The sequence below is a fragment of the Homo sapiens genome, chromosome 7 (assembly GCF_000001405.40).
Source record: "Homo sapiens chromosome 7, GRCh38.p14 Primary Assembly".
Taxonomy (NCBI): Eukaryota; Metazoa; Chordata; class Mammalia; order Primates; family Hominidae; genus Homo; species Homo sapiens.
The window spans coordinates 150,548,804-150,566,845 of NC_000007.14; the positions used below are offsets into that span (position 1 = coordinate 150,548,804).

Sequence of the window (18,042 nt, forward strand, 5' to 3'; positions counted from 1 at the left end):
TACTTTAAAGAAAAAAGAAAATTATGAGTTTTTTCTTCTTTAATGAGTTGTCAAATAATAAAAACCAAAAACAGTGTTCAAGGCTAGAATCTAATGACAGGTATGTTATAGGTTTCTTTTGAAATACAATTTCTTTCTTTCTTTCTTTCTTTCTTTCTTTCTTTCTTTCTTTCTTTCTTTCTTTCTTTCCTTCTTCTTTCTTTCTTTCTTTCTTTCCTTCTTTCTTCTTTCTTTCTTTCTTTCTTTCCTTCTTTCTCTCTCTCTCTCTTTCTCTCTCTCTCTCTCTGGATCCCTTTTTGTACCAGATACAAATTATAATAAAACTAATTTGTGTGCAAAGTAGATTTTAGTCTGGTTAAATGTGGTCTAATTATTTGCATAAAGTGCAGCAAGAATAACGTTTTGCTTTTTTGATTGGCTTTGTTTGAACTTTTCATAAGGAATCTCTGATTTGAAAGGCCTCTCAAAGCTATTCAAGTCAGGGATTTATCAGATTGCCTGTGATACCCATACGAATTGTGTGAAGTTGTTTCTTCTCAAAGTCCCAAAATAACTTGAGATTTCTGGGCCTGTCATAAAGTGACATTCTTTACTGACCACAGGTCAGGAACCTTGTAAAGCAACTGCATAGAAAAAGTGCCAGGCCAGTCTTTCCAAGAGGCTTCCTTTCGGGTCTAAAAAGTCAACCTTAATTCCTCAAAGTAATCTGGACATATCTGAAAATATGCCATTTCTCTCACAGCCTCGGTAAAATAACAAGTCTCCAATTGATTCCTGTTATAAAAGAAAACAGATTATTATTAAACTTATATAAATAATTATATTGCCATAAATTAAGAATGTTCACAAATAGTTTCTAAATTCTGAAGAAATCAGGTAGAGAGAAAGATAAATCCTTCACATTTTTGCTTATAATAGTATACTTCACTCAATTTGTTGTAAGCTATAAATAGCTCAAAAGAAAAAAGTTTTCTTGACTCTGGAAAACAGAACACAAAAAGAATTAGCAATGTTACAACCAAGGAAGTCATAAAATTATTTCAGTCCTCTATTTGTTCAGTTTTGTGTAAGTAATTATTGTTCTGCCTGATGTTGGGTTAGCAATCCTCATAAATGCACTAGCTTTTAACTGCAGTCCTGAAAGTTTTTACCTAGTCCAATGATATGATCTCCAAAGTTATCTGAAACTTGTATTCAAGAGTACTTGTCAGAGGCCTTTCCATGAATATTCTTAAGGAAGCAAATTTTGAACTAAAATAATTAAAAGCCACTTTGTGAGAAGAATCAAAGTAAAACAATAATTATATGTGAATGACAAAGGTCTTAGAATAGCCATGGTTAAAGACTCAACTGACAAGAAAATTTGGCTATTTCTGTGGTATACAACAATTTGACATAATAATTACTAGAACATATTAAGACATCAGAATTTTAGAAATCTCATAAATTTTGGAACATATATTAATAATGCATGTCTAAAACTATAACCCAAAGAAAATTAAACACCATTTCATATTTGACAATCATTTCCATGTGATTTTAACATATCAAATAAGCCTAATGTGTCTGTGATTTCCAGGGGCTCTAATATCCAAAAAGTTAGTTTGAGGTCAAAAAGGCTGAGTTAGAATTTGAAAATTTCAATTTTGGAAAGTTTGTCAAATATCAAAGTTTTAAAACATTTGCTCAAGGTTGCCTGCTTCAAGATGGCCAACTAGATGCAGCCAGGAGGAATATCTGCCACCAAGGGATGAAAACATCAGGAAAACTGGCTTACTCCTAGCAGATCTTCAGAGGGAAAGCATTGAAAGCAGATGGAGGGAAGACACAGGTGCTGAGATGAAGGGGGAGTAAGCTCAGAACCTTGCATGGGACTATCACATACTAGGATTTGTTCCTGGCCCCCCACTAGGATTTGTTCCTGGCCCCCCACGACTCCTGTAGTGGAGTGAGTTGAACAGGCAAAGAGCAACCTGCTCTCACCATAGACCTCTCGAATCCCAGCAGGAGGAAACCCCTTGACCACTAGACATTTGAGTTGGCGGGGAGAGCTGTTCACTGAAGTGGTAGAGGCAGAACTCCAGCCAGTGTGGAGCCCAGAGGGTTTGGTGTGGAAGCGTCTGTAGTGGAGTGTGGCCAGGGACACCCATTCCCCAACGCTCCACTTGCCCCCATACAAGACTTTAACCCTAGGGAAACTGTCAGACCTGAAATCTGACAGGATGGTCTTGCCTATGAGACAGGGCCCATCTGACCTGAGCACCCCTTGGTCTGCTGCCCATTCCCAGGGCTCCAGCCTGGCTGTGTCTGCTTGCAGTGCAGCCCTCAGGTACCTCCTGGGGGCCTGCATCATAACTTCTATGCTGGCAGACTCTGCCTGACAGGCAGAGTGCTCCAGTAGAGTGGCCCCTATAGACACGCACCAGCCTGCCTGCACCCTCCTTCCACTGCAGCCTCCCATGTGCCACTTTGCCAGCATGTACTCACCCACAGCTATTCCTCACGTTGTTTTGCCAGTGCCACTGTGCACAGGAGGACCTTGCCTTCCCATCCCTGTCAGCACATGTGTGCACATGCATTCTGCTATTCTATGGCTGCTGGTGTGCTTGCATCCTGCCATCCCTCCCCTGATCTGCACTGCCATCATCATTGGATCATTGTCGGACACAGAGCTTGCCAGCCCTGTCTCCACTGGCACCTAGACCCTGCTCTGACATTGCCATCAGTGTAAAACTAGGCGTGGAGAACAGTAGACCTGTCCCTGCCCTGAGTGACCACCACCACCACCTGTGCAAATGTGTATGAAGGGCACACACAGTCCTGGGCCCCCAGTGCCCCACTCCTGTGCTAACACTACCACCAGTGTGAACCCTTATACAGTGGCTTTCAGAGGCCTCCTGGATCCCCAAACTATGATGCCACTGCCACTGCTGCAAGCACCTGCAAAGAAGCTGGCACCCTGACACTGCTAGGAACCTGCCACAGCCAAAGAGTGTGCACACCACTGTTCTGCTGCTGCTGCTAATATATGTGAAATAGAACGGATCCTGCTGCCACTGCCCTAAAAAGTGCTTTGGCTGGCACCACTCATTGGAGTGTTGTTACCAGCAGTTCAGGAGGAACTAGGCCCCTCCTGCACAACAGGTTTCTAACCTCGAGGAGCCAGAGAACAAAACTAGGGCTTGATACCAGTCTCCCAGAGTTAGAGCATGCAGTCCAGAAGTCCTGGGCTGAGCCTTGGCCACCTAAAATCTTCCAGAAATGAAGCCAGTTGACTGATCTCACTTTATACCACAAACAAATCCCAAAGATCATCAAATAGGATAAAAGAAAAAAACCATCCAAAGGAAAGCAACTTCAAAAATCTAAGGAATATGAGCCCACAAAGATGAGAAAGAACTAGCATAAGAACTCTGACAACTCAAAAATCCAGAGTGTTTTATTTTCTCCAAATAATTGCACCAGTTCTCTAGCAAGGGTTCTTAACTGGCATGAGGTGACTGAAATGACAGGAATAGAATTCAGAATACGGATAGGAATGAAGATTTTGGAGATTTAGGAGAGTGTTTAAACAAAATCTAAGGAAGCTAAGAATCATGATAAAACGATACAGGAGCTGACAGAAAAAATAACCACTATAGAAGAGAATGTAACCGACCTGATAGAGCTGAAAAACCCACTACAAGAATTTCAGAATGTAATTGCAAGTTTAAACAGCAGAATAGACCTAATTGAGGAAAGAATCTCAGAGTCTGAAGACTGACTTTCTGAAAGGAGGCAGTCAGACAAAAATAAAGACAAAAGAATGAAAAGGAACAAATAAAATCTCCAAGACATGTGGAATTATGTAAAGAGGCTAAATCTATGACTTGTTGGCATTCCTGAAAGATGAGGAAAGTATAAGCAACTTGGAAAACATATTTCAGGATATCATTTATGACAATGCTCCCAACCTAGCTAGAGAGGCCAATATTCAAATTAAGGAAATGCAGAGAACCCTGAAAAATACTTCACAAGAAGATCATCTCTCAGACACATAATCATCAGATTCTCTGAGGTTGAAATGAAAGAACAAATGTTAAAGGCAGCTAGAGAGAAAGGGCAGGTCACCTAAAAAGGAAGCCCTTCAGACTACCTACAGAGTTCTCAGCAAAACCCTACAAACTAGAAGAGTCTGGGGGCCTATGTTCAACATTGTTAAAGAATAGAAATTCCAACCAAGATTTTCATATCCAGTCAAACTAAGCTTCATAAACAAAGGAGAAATAAGATCTTTTTCAGAGAAGCAAATGCTGAGGGCATTCTTTACCACCAGAGCTGCCTTACAAGAGCTCCTGAATGAAGCACTAAATGTGGAAAGGAAAGATTACCAGCCTCTACAAGAAAACACACTTAAATACACAGACTAGTGACACTATAAAGCAACTACACAAACAAGTTAGCATAACAACCAGCTAATGACACAATAACAGGATCAAATCCACATGTGTCCACATTAACCTTGAATGTAAATGGGCTAAATGCCCCACCTAAAAGGCACAGAATGGAAAGCTTGATAAAGATGCAAGACCCAATGGTATGCTGTCATCAAGAGAGTCATCTCACATGCAATGACACACATAGGCTTAAAATAAAGAAGTGGAGAAAAATCTACTAAAAGCAAATAGAAAACAGAAAAAAGGAGGGGTTGCAACCCTAATTTCAGAAAAAAAGAACATTAAACTAACAAAGATTAAAAAAAGACAAAGAAGGGAATTACATAATGGTAAAGACTTCAATTCAAAAAGAAAATCTAGCTATCCTAAATATATATGCACTCAACACAGGAGCACAGAGATTCATAAAGCAAGTTCATAGAGACCTTCAAAGAGACTTCAACTCCCACACAATAATAGTGGGAAACTTCAGTACCCCACAAACAATATTAGACAGATCACTGAGGGAGAAAATTAGCAAACATATTTAGGAACTGTACCCAACATTGGACCAAATGAGCCTGATAAACATCTACAGAACTCTCCACAAAAACACAATTGAATATACATTCTTCTCATTACCTCATGGCACATACTCTAAAATCAATTGGACATAAAACAATCCTCAACAAATGTAAAATAACTGAAATTATACCAACCACTCTCTTAAATTGTAGAGCAATAAAAATAGAATTCAAGACTAAGAAAATTGCTCAGAAGCATGCAACTACATGGAAATTAAACAACCTGCTCCTGAATGGCTTTTAGATAAACAATGAAATTAAGGCAGAAATCAAGAAGTTCTTTGAAACTAATGAAAACAAAGATATAGCATGGTGGAATCTCTGGGACACAGCTAAGGTAATGTTAAAAGGGAAATTTATAGCACTAAATGCGCATATCAAAAGATAGAAAGATCTCAAATTAACAACCTAACACCACAACTAAAAGAACTAGAGAAGCAAGAGCAAACCAACCACAGTGCTAGTAGAATACAAGAAATAATCAGTGCTGAACTGAAGGAGAATGAGACATGAAAAACCATTCAAAATGTTAATGAACCCAAGAGCTGATGTTTTGATACAATTAATAAGATAGATAGACCACTAGCTACACTAATGAAGAAAAGAGAGAAGATTCAAATAAACACAATTAGAAACAAAAAAAGGGGATATTACTACTAAATCCTCAGAAATGCAAACAACCATCAGAAACTACTATGAACACCTCTAGGCACATAAACTAGAAAATCTAGAAGAATTGAATAAATTCCTGCACACATACACCCTCCCAAGACAGAACCGGGAAGAAACAGGATCCCTGAACAGACCAGTAATGAGCTCCAAAATGAAATCAGTAACAAATAGCCTGCCAACCAAGAAAAGCCCAGGACAAAATGGATTCACAACCAAATTCTGCCACATATATAAAGAGCTGGTACCATTCCCACTGAAACTATTCCAAAAAAATTAAGGAAGAGGGATTCCTCCCCAGTTCTTTCTATGAGACCAGAATCATCCTGATACCAAAAACTGGCAGAGACACTACAAAAAAAGGAAACTTCAGGCCAGTATCTCTGAGGGACACTGATGCAAAAATCCTTAACAAAATACTGGTAAGCTAAATCCAACAGCACATCAAAAAGCTAATCCACCATGGTCAAGTAGGCTTTATCCCTGGGAAGCAAGGTTGGTTCTACATACACAAATCAATAAATGTAATTAATCGCATAAACAGAACTAAAGACAAAAACCACATGATTATCTCAATAGACACAGAAAATGCTTTTGATAAAATGCAACATTCCTTCATGTCAAAAACTGTGAATAAACTGGGTATTGAAGGAACATTCATCAAAATAATAAGAACCATCTATGACAAACCCACAGCCAACAGTATACTAAAAGGGCCAAAGCTGAAATCATTCCCCTTAAAAACCCACACAAGACAAAGATGCCATCTTTCACCAGTCTTATTCAATATGGTCCTGGAAGTCCTAGCCAGAGATCAGGCAAGAGAAAGAAATAAGATTGGATAAAGAAAATGTGTTACATATACATCATGGAATACTATGCAGCCATAAAAAAGAATGAGATCATGTCCTTTGCAACAACGTGAATGGAATTGGAGGCCATTATCCTTAGCAAACTAATGCAGGAACAGTAAAGCAAACACTGCATGTTCTCACTTATAAGTGGAAGCTATATGATGAGAACACACGGACAGAGGGGAACAGTAGACATTGGGGCCTACCTTAGGGTGGAGGATGGGAGGAGGGAGAGGAGCACAAAAGATAACCAATGGGTACTAGGCTTAATACCTGGGTGATGAAATAATCTGTACAACAAACCCTCGTAACACGAATTTACCTATATAAAAAACCTGCACATGTATGCCTTAACCTAAAATAAGAGTGTTTTTAAAACCTACTTGCTAAAAATAGGATCCCACTTGTTCTTCCCCATCTTCACTCTCCATCCTCCATCAAGCCCCTCAAATCAATAAATATTCCACTTTAAAGTATCATAAGGCTATTCCAGTCATGGCATGGTACTGCTGAATCATATGGTGACTTGCATTCAAAATGTCTGATCTGGAATCCTTATGAGGATAGAGTTACTTTAATATCATAGGTCACTGTGATATAATAGTCATTTATTTAGCCAAAGTGATAACCAAAATATTTCAAAAAGCAAAAACCTTTACTCTTTGATAGGGAGGAGACTCAGTTTCCTAAACAATCATAAGACCTAATAAAGGCACTGAGTATCAGAAGTAGTATGGCAGCTAGAGTTTTATGATCTTAAAACATCCAGCAGAAAGATTATAAACCTTCCTGACCAAGACAAATGTGTCTAAATTAAATTTTGAAGACATTTCTATTTTAACAACAATTTAAAAACTATATTTATCAAAGACTGCTAAAATCACATAAACTTGAAAAAAACTGGACTTATTTATTTCATTTATGAGTACTCCTTTGTTTATAAGCCAATTTGATATCACAGTAAATACATAAAAACATACTCACATGTGCACATAAAAATACAGAGAGAAGCAAAGATACCCAGCCTTGATTTTAAAACTCTAGCCATGAAACTGGCAGAACTCACTCATCCTAAAAGACATCTGGATTAAGCTTATGTCCCTGCAAATTGAATAAGTCAATGCCCACTTGTCCCTGACAACTCAAGCCCTCACCTAACCCCAGAGGAAACAGGGTAGCAATCCACATCTCAAAGGGGTCAGGGGAGAGAGAGAAAGTCCACGCTCCTTTAAGAAGGAATTTGTGTGTGTGTGTGGTAGAGAAAGATCAAAAAAGGATGCCAAAACAATGCAAAATTATAGGAATTCACCATAGGATTTCACAAGGAGATCAACTTCATTTAAGATAGGTAACTTTTACTGCAGTCTGTTTCTTCAACTTGACTACTGAGCCCAGGGTGGAGCCCATCAAGGAACAGGGCCAAAAAATTACTTGTAATTTGTAAACCCTAACAATTTACACAGTTGAAAAGCAGAACACCCAGACTTTTAAAATCGAGGACTTCTACACTGAATCTCAGGTCCTCAAAAAGAGAGAAATGCCATAGGACCAGGCCATGCAATGTCTCTATATGCTTCCTGTTATAAAGATAAGCCTCTAAGTGCTCAGACTACGCCATTCCTATTCAGATGTGCAAAGAAACAGGCATGCCCTTGCAGCAACATTTACCACAAACAACTTTTGTCAGCAACCTCTGCTGCACAAAAGCTTCTGCACAGCGAAAGAAACTACCATCAGAGTGAACAGGCAACCTACAAAATGGGAGAAAATTTTCACAACCTACTCATCTGACAAAGGGCTAATATCCAGAATCTACAATGAACTCAAACAAATTTACAAGAAAAAAACAAACAACCCCATCAAAAAGTGGGCAAAGGACAGGAAAAGACACTTCTCAAAAGAAGACATTTATGCAGCCAAAAAACACATGAAAAAATGCTCCCCATCACTGGCCATCAGAGAAATGCAAATCAAAACCACAATGAGATACCATCTCACACCAGTTAGAATGACGATCATTAAAAAGTCAGGAAACAACAGGTGCTGGAGAGGATGTGGAGAAATAGGAACACTTTTACACTGTTGGTGGGACTGTAAACTAGTTCAACCATTGTGGAAGTCAGTGTGGCGATTCCTCAGGGATCTAGAACTAGAAATACCATTTGACCCAGCCATCCCATTACTGGGTATATACCCAAAGGACTATAAATCATGCTGCTATAAAGACACATGCACACGTATGTTTATTGCGGCACTATTCACAATAGCAAAGACTTGGAACCAACCCAAATGTCCAACAATGATAGACTGGATTAAGAAAATGTGGCACATATACACCATGGAATATATGCAGCCATAAAAAATGATGAGTTCATGTCCTTTGTAGGGACATGGATGAAATTGGAAATCATCATTCTCAGTAAACTATTGCAAGAACAAAAAACCAAACACCGCATAGTCTCACTCGTAGGTGGGAATTGAACAATGAGAACACATGGACACAGGAAAGGGAACATCACACTCTGGGGACTGTTGTGGGGTGGGGGAGGGGGAGGGATAGCATTAGGAGATATGCTTAATGTTAAATGACGAGTTAATGGGTGCAGCACACCAGCATGGCACATGAATACATATGTAACTAACCTGCACATTGTGCACATGTACCCTAAAACTTAAAGTATAATAATAATAAAATAAAATAAATGAAATCATAAACATATTCAATCCCCAAAGAAGGCAGAAATATAGGAAAAAGGAAACAAAGAACAGGTGGGACAAAACAAATAGCAAGATGATAGATTTAAACCCAACTATGTCAGTAATCACACAGCATGCAAAGGATCTAAATACTCCCATTAGAAGCAGATTTTCAGGTTGGATTAAAAAAGCAAGACACCAACTGTATCTTGCCTAAAAGAAACCCACTCTTAATATAAAAACACAAATAAGTTAAAAGTAAAAGAATGGAAATAGATACGTCATCATAACACTAATAAGAAACAGCCGAAGTGACTATATTACTGCCAAAGTTGATTTCAGAGCAAATATTACTAAAGAACATAACTTCATAATGAGAAAGAAGTTAGTCAAAAGGACATAACAATACTCAACTATTATGCCTCTAATAACAGAGGTTCAAAATACATGTAGCAAAATTTGATAGACCTGTGGGAAGAAATAAGCAAATCCAAAATAATAGAGATTTCAACACTCCTCTCTCAAAAAAGTAGACAGAAAATTAGTTTATAGGAGACTTGATCACACTATCAACCAAATTAATCTGATTGATATTGATAGAATATTCCACTGAACAATAGCAGAATACCCATTATTTTTAAGTGCACATGAGATATTTACTAAGATAGAACATATTCCAGGCAACAAAAAAGTCTCAATGAATGTAGAAGCATCAAAATAATACAAAGCCTATCCCAGACAATAACAAAATTAAATTAGAAATCAGTAACAGAAATATATCTGGAAAATCCCCAAATATTTGGAAACTAAGTTACATTTTCTAAATAATCTGTGGGCCAAAAACTAGGTCAAAAGGAAAATTAGAAAGCATTTTAAATGAGTGAAGAACACAGCATATGAAAATTTGTGGGATTCAGCTAATGCAATATTAGAAAGAGATTTATAGCTCTAAATGCTTGTAATAGAAAAAAAAGAAAAAATTTATATCAATGACATCAGTTTCCACATTAAGAAATAAGAAAAAAGAGCAAATTAAACTCAAAGTAAGCACAAGAAATAAAGATCAACATGGGAATCAGTAAAATAGAACACAGAAAAATATTTTAAAAAATGAAAAAATCCAAAGCTGTTTTGTTAAAAAGATCAATAAAATTGGCAAACTTCTATCCAGGTGTATAAGAAAAAATATGGAGAAAGTATAAAATATCAATTATTACATCACTAAAGATTCTATATAAATTAAGATCATAATAAGGGAATATCATGGAAAACTTTAGGCCAATAAATTCAACAACTTTGAGGAAATAGAGAAGTTTCTTGAAACTACCAAAGTTCACTTAAGAAGAAATACATAATCTGAACATTCCTATATTATTAGGTGTTGCAGGAAGTCAGGGACCCCGAATGGAGGGACCGGCTGGAGCTGCAGCAGAGGAACATAAATTTTGAAGATTTCATTTTAATATGGACATTTATCAGTTCTCAAATAATACCTTCATAATATCTTATGCCTGTCTTTAATCTCTTAATCCTGTTATCTTCGTAAGCTGAGGATGTATGTCACCTCAGGATCACGGTGATAATGGTGTTAACTGTACATATTGATTGTAAAACGTGTTTGAACAATATGAAATCAGTCCACCTTGAAAAAGAACAGAATAATGGCAATTTTTAGGAACAAGGGAAGACAACCATAAGGTCTGACTGCCTGTGGGGTCAGGCAAAAAAAGCCATATTTTTCTTTTTGCAGAGAGCCTATAAATGGACATGCAAGTAGGAGACATATCACTGAATTCTTTTCCTGGCAAGGAATATTAATATTAATATTAATACCCTGGGAAAGGAATGCATTCCTGGGGGGAGGTCTATAAATGGCCGCTCTGGGAATGTCTGTCTTATGCAGTAGAGATAAGGACTAAGATACTCCCTGGTCTCCTGCAGTACCCTCAGGCTTACTAGGATGGGGAAAACTCTGCCCTGGTAAATCTGTGGTCAGACCAGTTCTCTGCTCTTGTACCCTGATTTCTGTTGTTTAAGATGTTTATCAAGACAATACGTGCACCGCTGAACATAGACCCTTATTAGTAGTTCTGCTTTTGCCCTTTGCCCTGTGATCTTTGTTGGACCCTTATCAGTAGTTCTGCTTTTGCCCTTTGTCCTGTTCCCTCAGAAGCATGTGATCTTTGTTAGACCCTTATTAGTAGTTCTGCTTTTTGCCCTTTGAAGCATGTGATCTTTGTACCTACTCCCTATTCTTGCACCCCCTCCCCTTTTTAAAACCCTTAATAAAAACTTGCTGGTTTGAGGCTCAGGGGGGCATCATTGTCCTACCAATATGTGATGTCACCCACGGCGACCCAGCTGTAAAATTCCTCTCTTTGTACTGTCTCTCTTTATTTCTCAGCCAGCTGACACTTAAGGAAAATAGAAAGAACCTACATTGAAATATTGGGGGTGGTTTCCCCCAATAGTTAGGGAAACATTGTGTTCATGAGAGAAGCATTCTTTCCTTGGGAACTGAGGCCAACATAACCCAAAGCTGTGGGAAAGGGAAGCCACAATTTCACATGGCTCATTAGGATCAATAGTGGGAAGATCCATTCTGATATCAAACATTGGTTCTGCTCTTTCTATCATAGAAGTGGATACATGCCCCCCGGTGGCCAACTGATCTCCCTGGGATATGGTGTTGGATCAAAGGCTCAGTGTTGGTCTTAGCTCTTATTAGTTTGGTCACTTAACAGTGGCTGTAGCCAGCTTGGCCTCAGAGACTGGGAGTCAAAATTGCTGCATTCATGCATAACCCCCATCCCTACCACCATGTGATGAGCCTATTAAGCAAGGACAGGTGTGGCTGGGAGAAGAGGCTGGCTGATGTGCACAGAATTGGGTATATTAATTAATATCCTTTTCTGAATTCTCTTTAATCAGTGTTAATATGAGGTACACATGTCTGTACATTTCATGCTCTTCAGAGATGTCCATCTGTATCTCTCTCCTCTGACCTCAGTCCTCAAAACTGCATTACTACAGTCCATTATCATCCCTTTTGTTGGGGTCCAGCCTCAACACTACCTGCGGGTACCCAAAGTCTGGTGGCAACAAAGGAATGAGAAAAGACAAGTTAAGATTTAAAGTAGGTCCAGGGGGCCAGTTGCTGGAGGGAAGGCTGCAAAAGGCCCAGAGCTCTGGCTGCCTGACAATTTATTGAGTACAATTTTTTGATCTAAGAAGGGGATGGTACAGGGTGAAATGGTGAAGGAGGGGTACGTGTGTCATTCGGTTGTGAAAGATCTATAGCAGTGACGGTTAAGTGAATTTCCTTTAAGCTAAAAGCATATGTCTAACTACTGAGATAATCTTTAACTTATTGGGCTGCAGCTGGTAGGAGTTGGTTTTACAAAAAGTCAGGATGTCTGGTCACATTCCAGTGCTCAAGGGAGTGTTTCAGCCATGCTCACTGGCATGGGGACACAATGGCAATAAGGAGATGTTTCTCCTCAGGGGCCCCCTATGGTATTCCATAGGTGTCCTACACAGGGGTGACTGGCTAAACTGGCACCCCATAATCCCTTCCACCAGCACTTGCCCCCCGCTTTTTTTAATTAATAACTGCCATTTCTATCATGGCTTGCTTGTGGTGTCTGGCTTCTCTCCCAAGGCATCTTTTGCACCTGTAGACTAAAAATAAGCAGCATAGACAAACAGAAATTAAAGCAAAGTTTGTAGCAGTTGATTCTCCAATGGTTTTAATCCATTTCAGAGGATTCAGGTCAGAGAGCCCATCAACAGCTCCATTAAGGGCATCAGCACCAGGTAAGAGAGTTAAGTGGGCTTGAGATGCCTCAAAAACTTGTTCCTTTAATTTTCTTATGTCCAGTGTTAGATTTTCCTCTCTTCCTTCTAGATAGTGTTTAACCTTTTCCCAATGATGCACAGAGGCATTATAAGATTGAGGAGTAATACAAAAATCAGAAGTATTCCAATCACACTGTATTTGTATTCTATGTTCCAGGTTTATAATTCAATCCCCCATTCATGGTACTGTTTGATGGAGATCATTAATCTGATTAGCTAATTTTTGATCAATTTGTTTCTGGGTATTCCAAAGCTTAGAAGAATTCTTTTGCCACTGGTTAACATAATCAGCAGTTTGAACAGAAGAATGTAAGCAACACCTGTGGCTGCTGTCGTGGCTGTTACAGCTATGGTACCCATAATAACTGCAATAAGAGTGAAAATAAACCTTTTTGTTCAATTAAGCATTCCCTTTAGTATTTCAGTGACAATATGAATGGAAAGGGAAGCTTTCCAAGGTCTATTAAGGGAAACAGGTATCCAAACTCCCTCTCAGGCTCTGACAAGCAAGATACTATTATTCTTATCAAATGTAGAGTCAATGCAAGTGAAAAGATGACAGCCAAGACATGATATAGTTTGAAAATCAGGTAAAATATTGATTTGTCCTACTGCCAACATAAGAGGAGGTTTAACACAACCCTGTAATGGGACATCTGATTAGAGGACTAAGCTACAACAAATTGAAGTTTTTTACTATGGGTTTCTGTTTTATATTCTCCTTTTCAAATCCATATTGGGGTTTGAACCATCATTAATTTCTACAGTTCTGGGTGTTCTGAACCTACTATTGGATCAATCATTTTAGGGCATGGAGGAACCATATCACTGCCTTCCCAGAAGACAGGAAAGTCGGCTTCTATTCTATACTTTTGGGTAGGTGCCTTTTCGGAATAGTCAATTGGCAAGCTGCGCTCTTGACATCCCTTGTGCTGTCCAGTACAATTTACTGCAAATTGCCCCTTAGAGGTCCAGTCAATAACGATTCCATAGGAGTTATTTTGCAGTACCACAGCACTATTTGCAATGCAATCTTCCCAAGTCAGCACCTCAGCTTCCTTAGACCATAATGTCAATTGTTCTGGGCATTTTTTCTTTCTTGGCCTAAATTGATTAGTAAGAATATTAGCTATACGATAGGAATTTCCTGAGGATATGACTTTTGTTTTAGATTGAAAGCTCCTTCCACTAACTATATGAATAGAGGCCTCTGATCCATTATGTGCAGGGACATAAACCATCCAGCTTTGTTTGTCATAATCTAAACATCCTGCTGCAGGCCCCAGACATATAGAAGGAAAGCAATACCAATGGACACATTTATTAACATACCTTCCTCCTCTGGATGAGTAGGGCCTTGGTTATCAGTTGGTCCGGGCATCCAAACACTATTATTAACATAAACCTCAACTGGGGAGTTCAGCCAAGTAAGAGGTCTAATCAGTGGAGGGAATGGAATGTAATCCCAATAGGTATAATTTTGATCAGCCTCAGCTACAGGGAGACTCACTGCCAGGGTAATTACCACCATCATAGCTACCAGCAGATTGCAGGAGGTCCACGGTTTGTCCTGAGACTTCAGGTCCTCTTCTGCAAGCTGGGTCAATCTCTTAATCTGCCCCCAGGTCGGTGGAGTTGACTGGTGAGTCTTGCTGGTCACCTTCTGCTCAGCAGAAATCTTCATTTGAGCCATCAGGCAAGTTGGGAGTGCAAAGTTCCGAGGTCTTCTCCTCTTCCTTGGATTCTGACTCACGGCACAGCTTAAGATGTCTTGTAGGCACCCAGAGAGGAAGCTGATTTTCTCCTGGTGAAATACAAGAAAACCCTCTACCCCATGTAATGATTCTCCCCTCTTCCCAGGTCTTTGTTCTGACATCTTTCCACCACACAAGGTTTCCTTCATGGGGATTTATTTTTTGCCCTGTTAGATGCTGCTCTGCTGCAGTTGTAAACTGATCTCTGGACAAGTTCAAAAAATTTAAAATAATAAGAGCCAGTTGTAGCTGCATATAGGGAGTGGAGTATTCCCCCCTCTTTGCCTTTTGTTTTTGTAATTGAGTTTTTAAAGTTCTGTTTGCAAGTTCAACAATGGCCTGTGCTTGAGAATTATAGGGTATGCCAGTACTATGTCGAACACCCCATTGTTGTAAGAATGTTTCTAAAGATTTAGTGCAGTAGCCTGGCCCGTTGTCTGTTTTAAGTTCCTGTGGAATGCCCATAACAGCAAAACAAGAAAGCAAATGTCTTTTTATACGTGCTGTAGCTTCACCAGTTTGGCAGGTAGCCCACATGAATTTTGAAAATGTATCAACACTTACAGGAACGTAAGAAAGTTTACCAAATTTAGGAATGTGGGTAACGTCAGTTTGTCAGATTTTGTTAGGTGCCAACCCTCTAGGGTTAACACCAGTTCCTTGATGTGGTAATTGTAATACTTGGCACTGAGGACAATGTTGTACAATGTCCTTTGCTTGTCTCCAGGTGATTTGATATTTCTGTTTAAGTCCTGCTGCATTAACATGTGTTAAGGAGTGAAAGTCTTGGGCATCTGTGAGTACAGGAGAAACTAATAAATCAGCTTGATTATTAGCCCTTACAAGGGGCCCAGGGTGATTAGTATGTGTTTGGATGTGTGTAATATGAAAAGGAAAACCTTGATGATGCACCACCTTCTGTAAGGAAGAAAACAGTTGATAAAGTTGTTCATCAACAATGTACTTAATTAATGCAGTTTTTATGTTTAGAGTGGCTTGAACAACGTAAGCCGAACCAGAGACAATATTTACAGGCTGATTAAAATCTTTCAACACAGTTATAACTGCCTGTAATTCAGCCCTCTGAGCTGAATGGAAATTAGTATGAATAATTCAATTTTTAGGTCCTACACAGGCTGCCTTTCCAGAACTAAAGCCGTCTGTAAATACAGTCACTGCTCCTTCTAAGGGAGCATTATGGGTAATTTTTGGCAGAACTCATGTAGTTAATTTTAAAAACTGAAAAATCCTATTTTTTGGATAATGATTGTTAAGGTTTCCTATGAATTCAGCTTGCCAATTAACTTGCCAATAAATTTACTTGCCAATTAAAGGAGTTAATAAAAACCTGTCGAATCTGGTTTTTGTTCATTGGAACTATAAAAAGACCATTCAACCAAGTCCTCACTCTGAGCAATAACCCCTGTAGGTGAATGGAGCTTGTTGTATTTTTTCCTCAATCATTAGTGCTGGTTGTAAGCCACAGATTGTAATAGGGAATGAACATAAGGAGAATTTGGCCCACATTGTCCAATTGCTTGCCTTAAGTCTTTCAATATTTTAAAAGGGAATGGCTCCCAGTGTGACTGAGCATGTCCAGGCTGCTCCTCTGGTATGACAGTCACCAGAAACTGCCAAGCATCCAAGTCCCCACTTTCTCGTGCCTGATGAATGGAAGCCTGAATTGTCCCATATTTAACGTTGGGAGGAGCCTGAAGCATCTCTTTGGAATAATTAACAGGTGGACAAGTCTGAATTTTTAACCGTAATTAACTGGTGGCTGAGTCTGATTTTTACCATAGTTAACGGCAGGTTGTGCAATAACAGGTGCCGCAAACGGCATCTCAGGCTCCCATGCCTGCAGTTCACAAGGCTTAGGTGGGGGTGGCCATTCCGGAGCTTCCCCTGAGGGTGCAGTAGGTTGAACTGTCTCTTTCATATGTTTTTGGAGGTTAGCATACATAACCTCCTGATTCTCCCCCTTTTTTAACTGGAGCTAGATGTTGAGGTGATCAGGCCCAACCCCTTTAATGCCTGCATGATCTCGTTCCCATTCCTGATATTAATAACTTGTATACTGTATGTTTTGCCCCTTTTCTTGATTTATGTAGATAGAGGCTTATCAATTTTATTAATTATTTCCAAAGAATTCATGTTTGATTTTATTGGTTTTCTCTATTTTTTTTTTCTGTTTCAAGATTTCTTCCCTTTAGTATTTCCTTCATCCTCCTTACTTTAGGTTCAATTTGCTGTTCCTTTTCTAAATTTTTAATGTGGTATCACAAATTATTGTTTTCATTTCTGGATCTTTAATGTAGACATTTTTGTCTACACATTGCTTTATTGTTAAAGCATTAGATGAAACGTGGTGCTCACTGCAAATGTAGTCCCTAACAGAGAACTTTCCTACTGCAGTGATCCCTGTAACCTGAATAAAGATTCCCTAAGTAATGATCCAGTGCTTTAATAGTACTAAAAATAAATACTATATTTTGCATCAATTTCTGTAATTAAATAGAATAATATATACCTTCTAGCCAGGTTTAGGCTTCAGAAACAAAATATAATCCTAGTCTTTTAAGGTATCTCAGTTCAGAATCGCGGAGATGCTTTCTCATGCTGCCTGTTCTTTTGGACTTGCCTTCGTTTGCCTGTCAAACCAAGGGACCAAGTGGTCTTTGTTATTTAAGTCATGTTGCTCTGGAATGTAAATTATCCTTACTGTTGGTGCAAGATGTATTCCATTGCCTTGTTCTGCTTTTTAGTGTAGCCATCCTGTGCTTGTATACCCAGGGCCAATCACATTCTATCCTCAAAGAAATGTATGTCTTTCTCTTACAGTTCTCTTTAGAATTATTAGCAATTTTATAATTACTAAAGTGCTATGTAATTCTAAATAAGGTCTCAGCTGTGGGGTATAATGGTAAATTGAGACCCCTTTTACAATGGAAAAATAACTGGTTATAACGGTGAGCTGGGACCCCATTACAATACTCTCAAAGTTTCCATTTTAGTGGTAAGTAGTGTCAGATGTCAGTGTTTAGAATATTTCAGTGGTTCCAGGACCATCTCAGGAGGTGAATTTTGGGCCCATCCTAGTCAGTCCAGTGAAAGTCATTTACTCTCTTTTGCTTCTAGCAGATGACTCATGGACATACCCTGGAAATAAGGACACACTGTGGACTCAGAGGACATACCTGAGGTACTGGGA

At 38.9% G+C, this 18,042-nt stretch overlaps 1 protein-coding gene across 1 annotated transcript; it reads right to left on the minus strand.

The window, feature by feature from the left end:
* Positions 1-271: 271 nt before the first annotated feature.
* On the minus strand, positions 272-15,299 carry LOC107986860 (endogenous retrovirus group K member 19 Env polyprotein-like). The gene is made up of 2 exons (XM_017012936.2): positions 14,410-15,299; positions 272-774 (listed from the first exon to the last, which is right to left on the minus strand). The coding sequence occupies exons 1-2, from the start codon at positions 14,978-14,980 to the stop codon at positions 737-739; spliced, it is 609 nt and encodes a 202-aa protein (XP_016868425.1). The 5' UTR covers positions 14,981-15,299; the 3' UTR covers positions 272-736.
* Between the last annotated feature and the right edge of the window lie 2,743 nt (positions 15,300-18,042).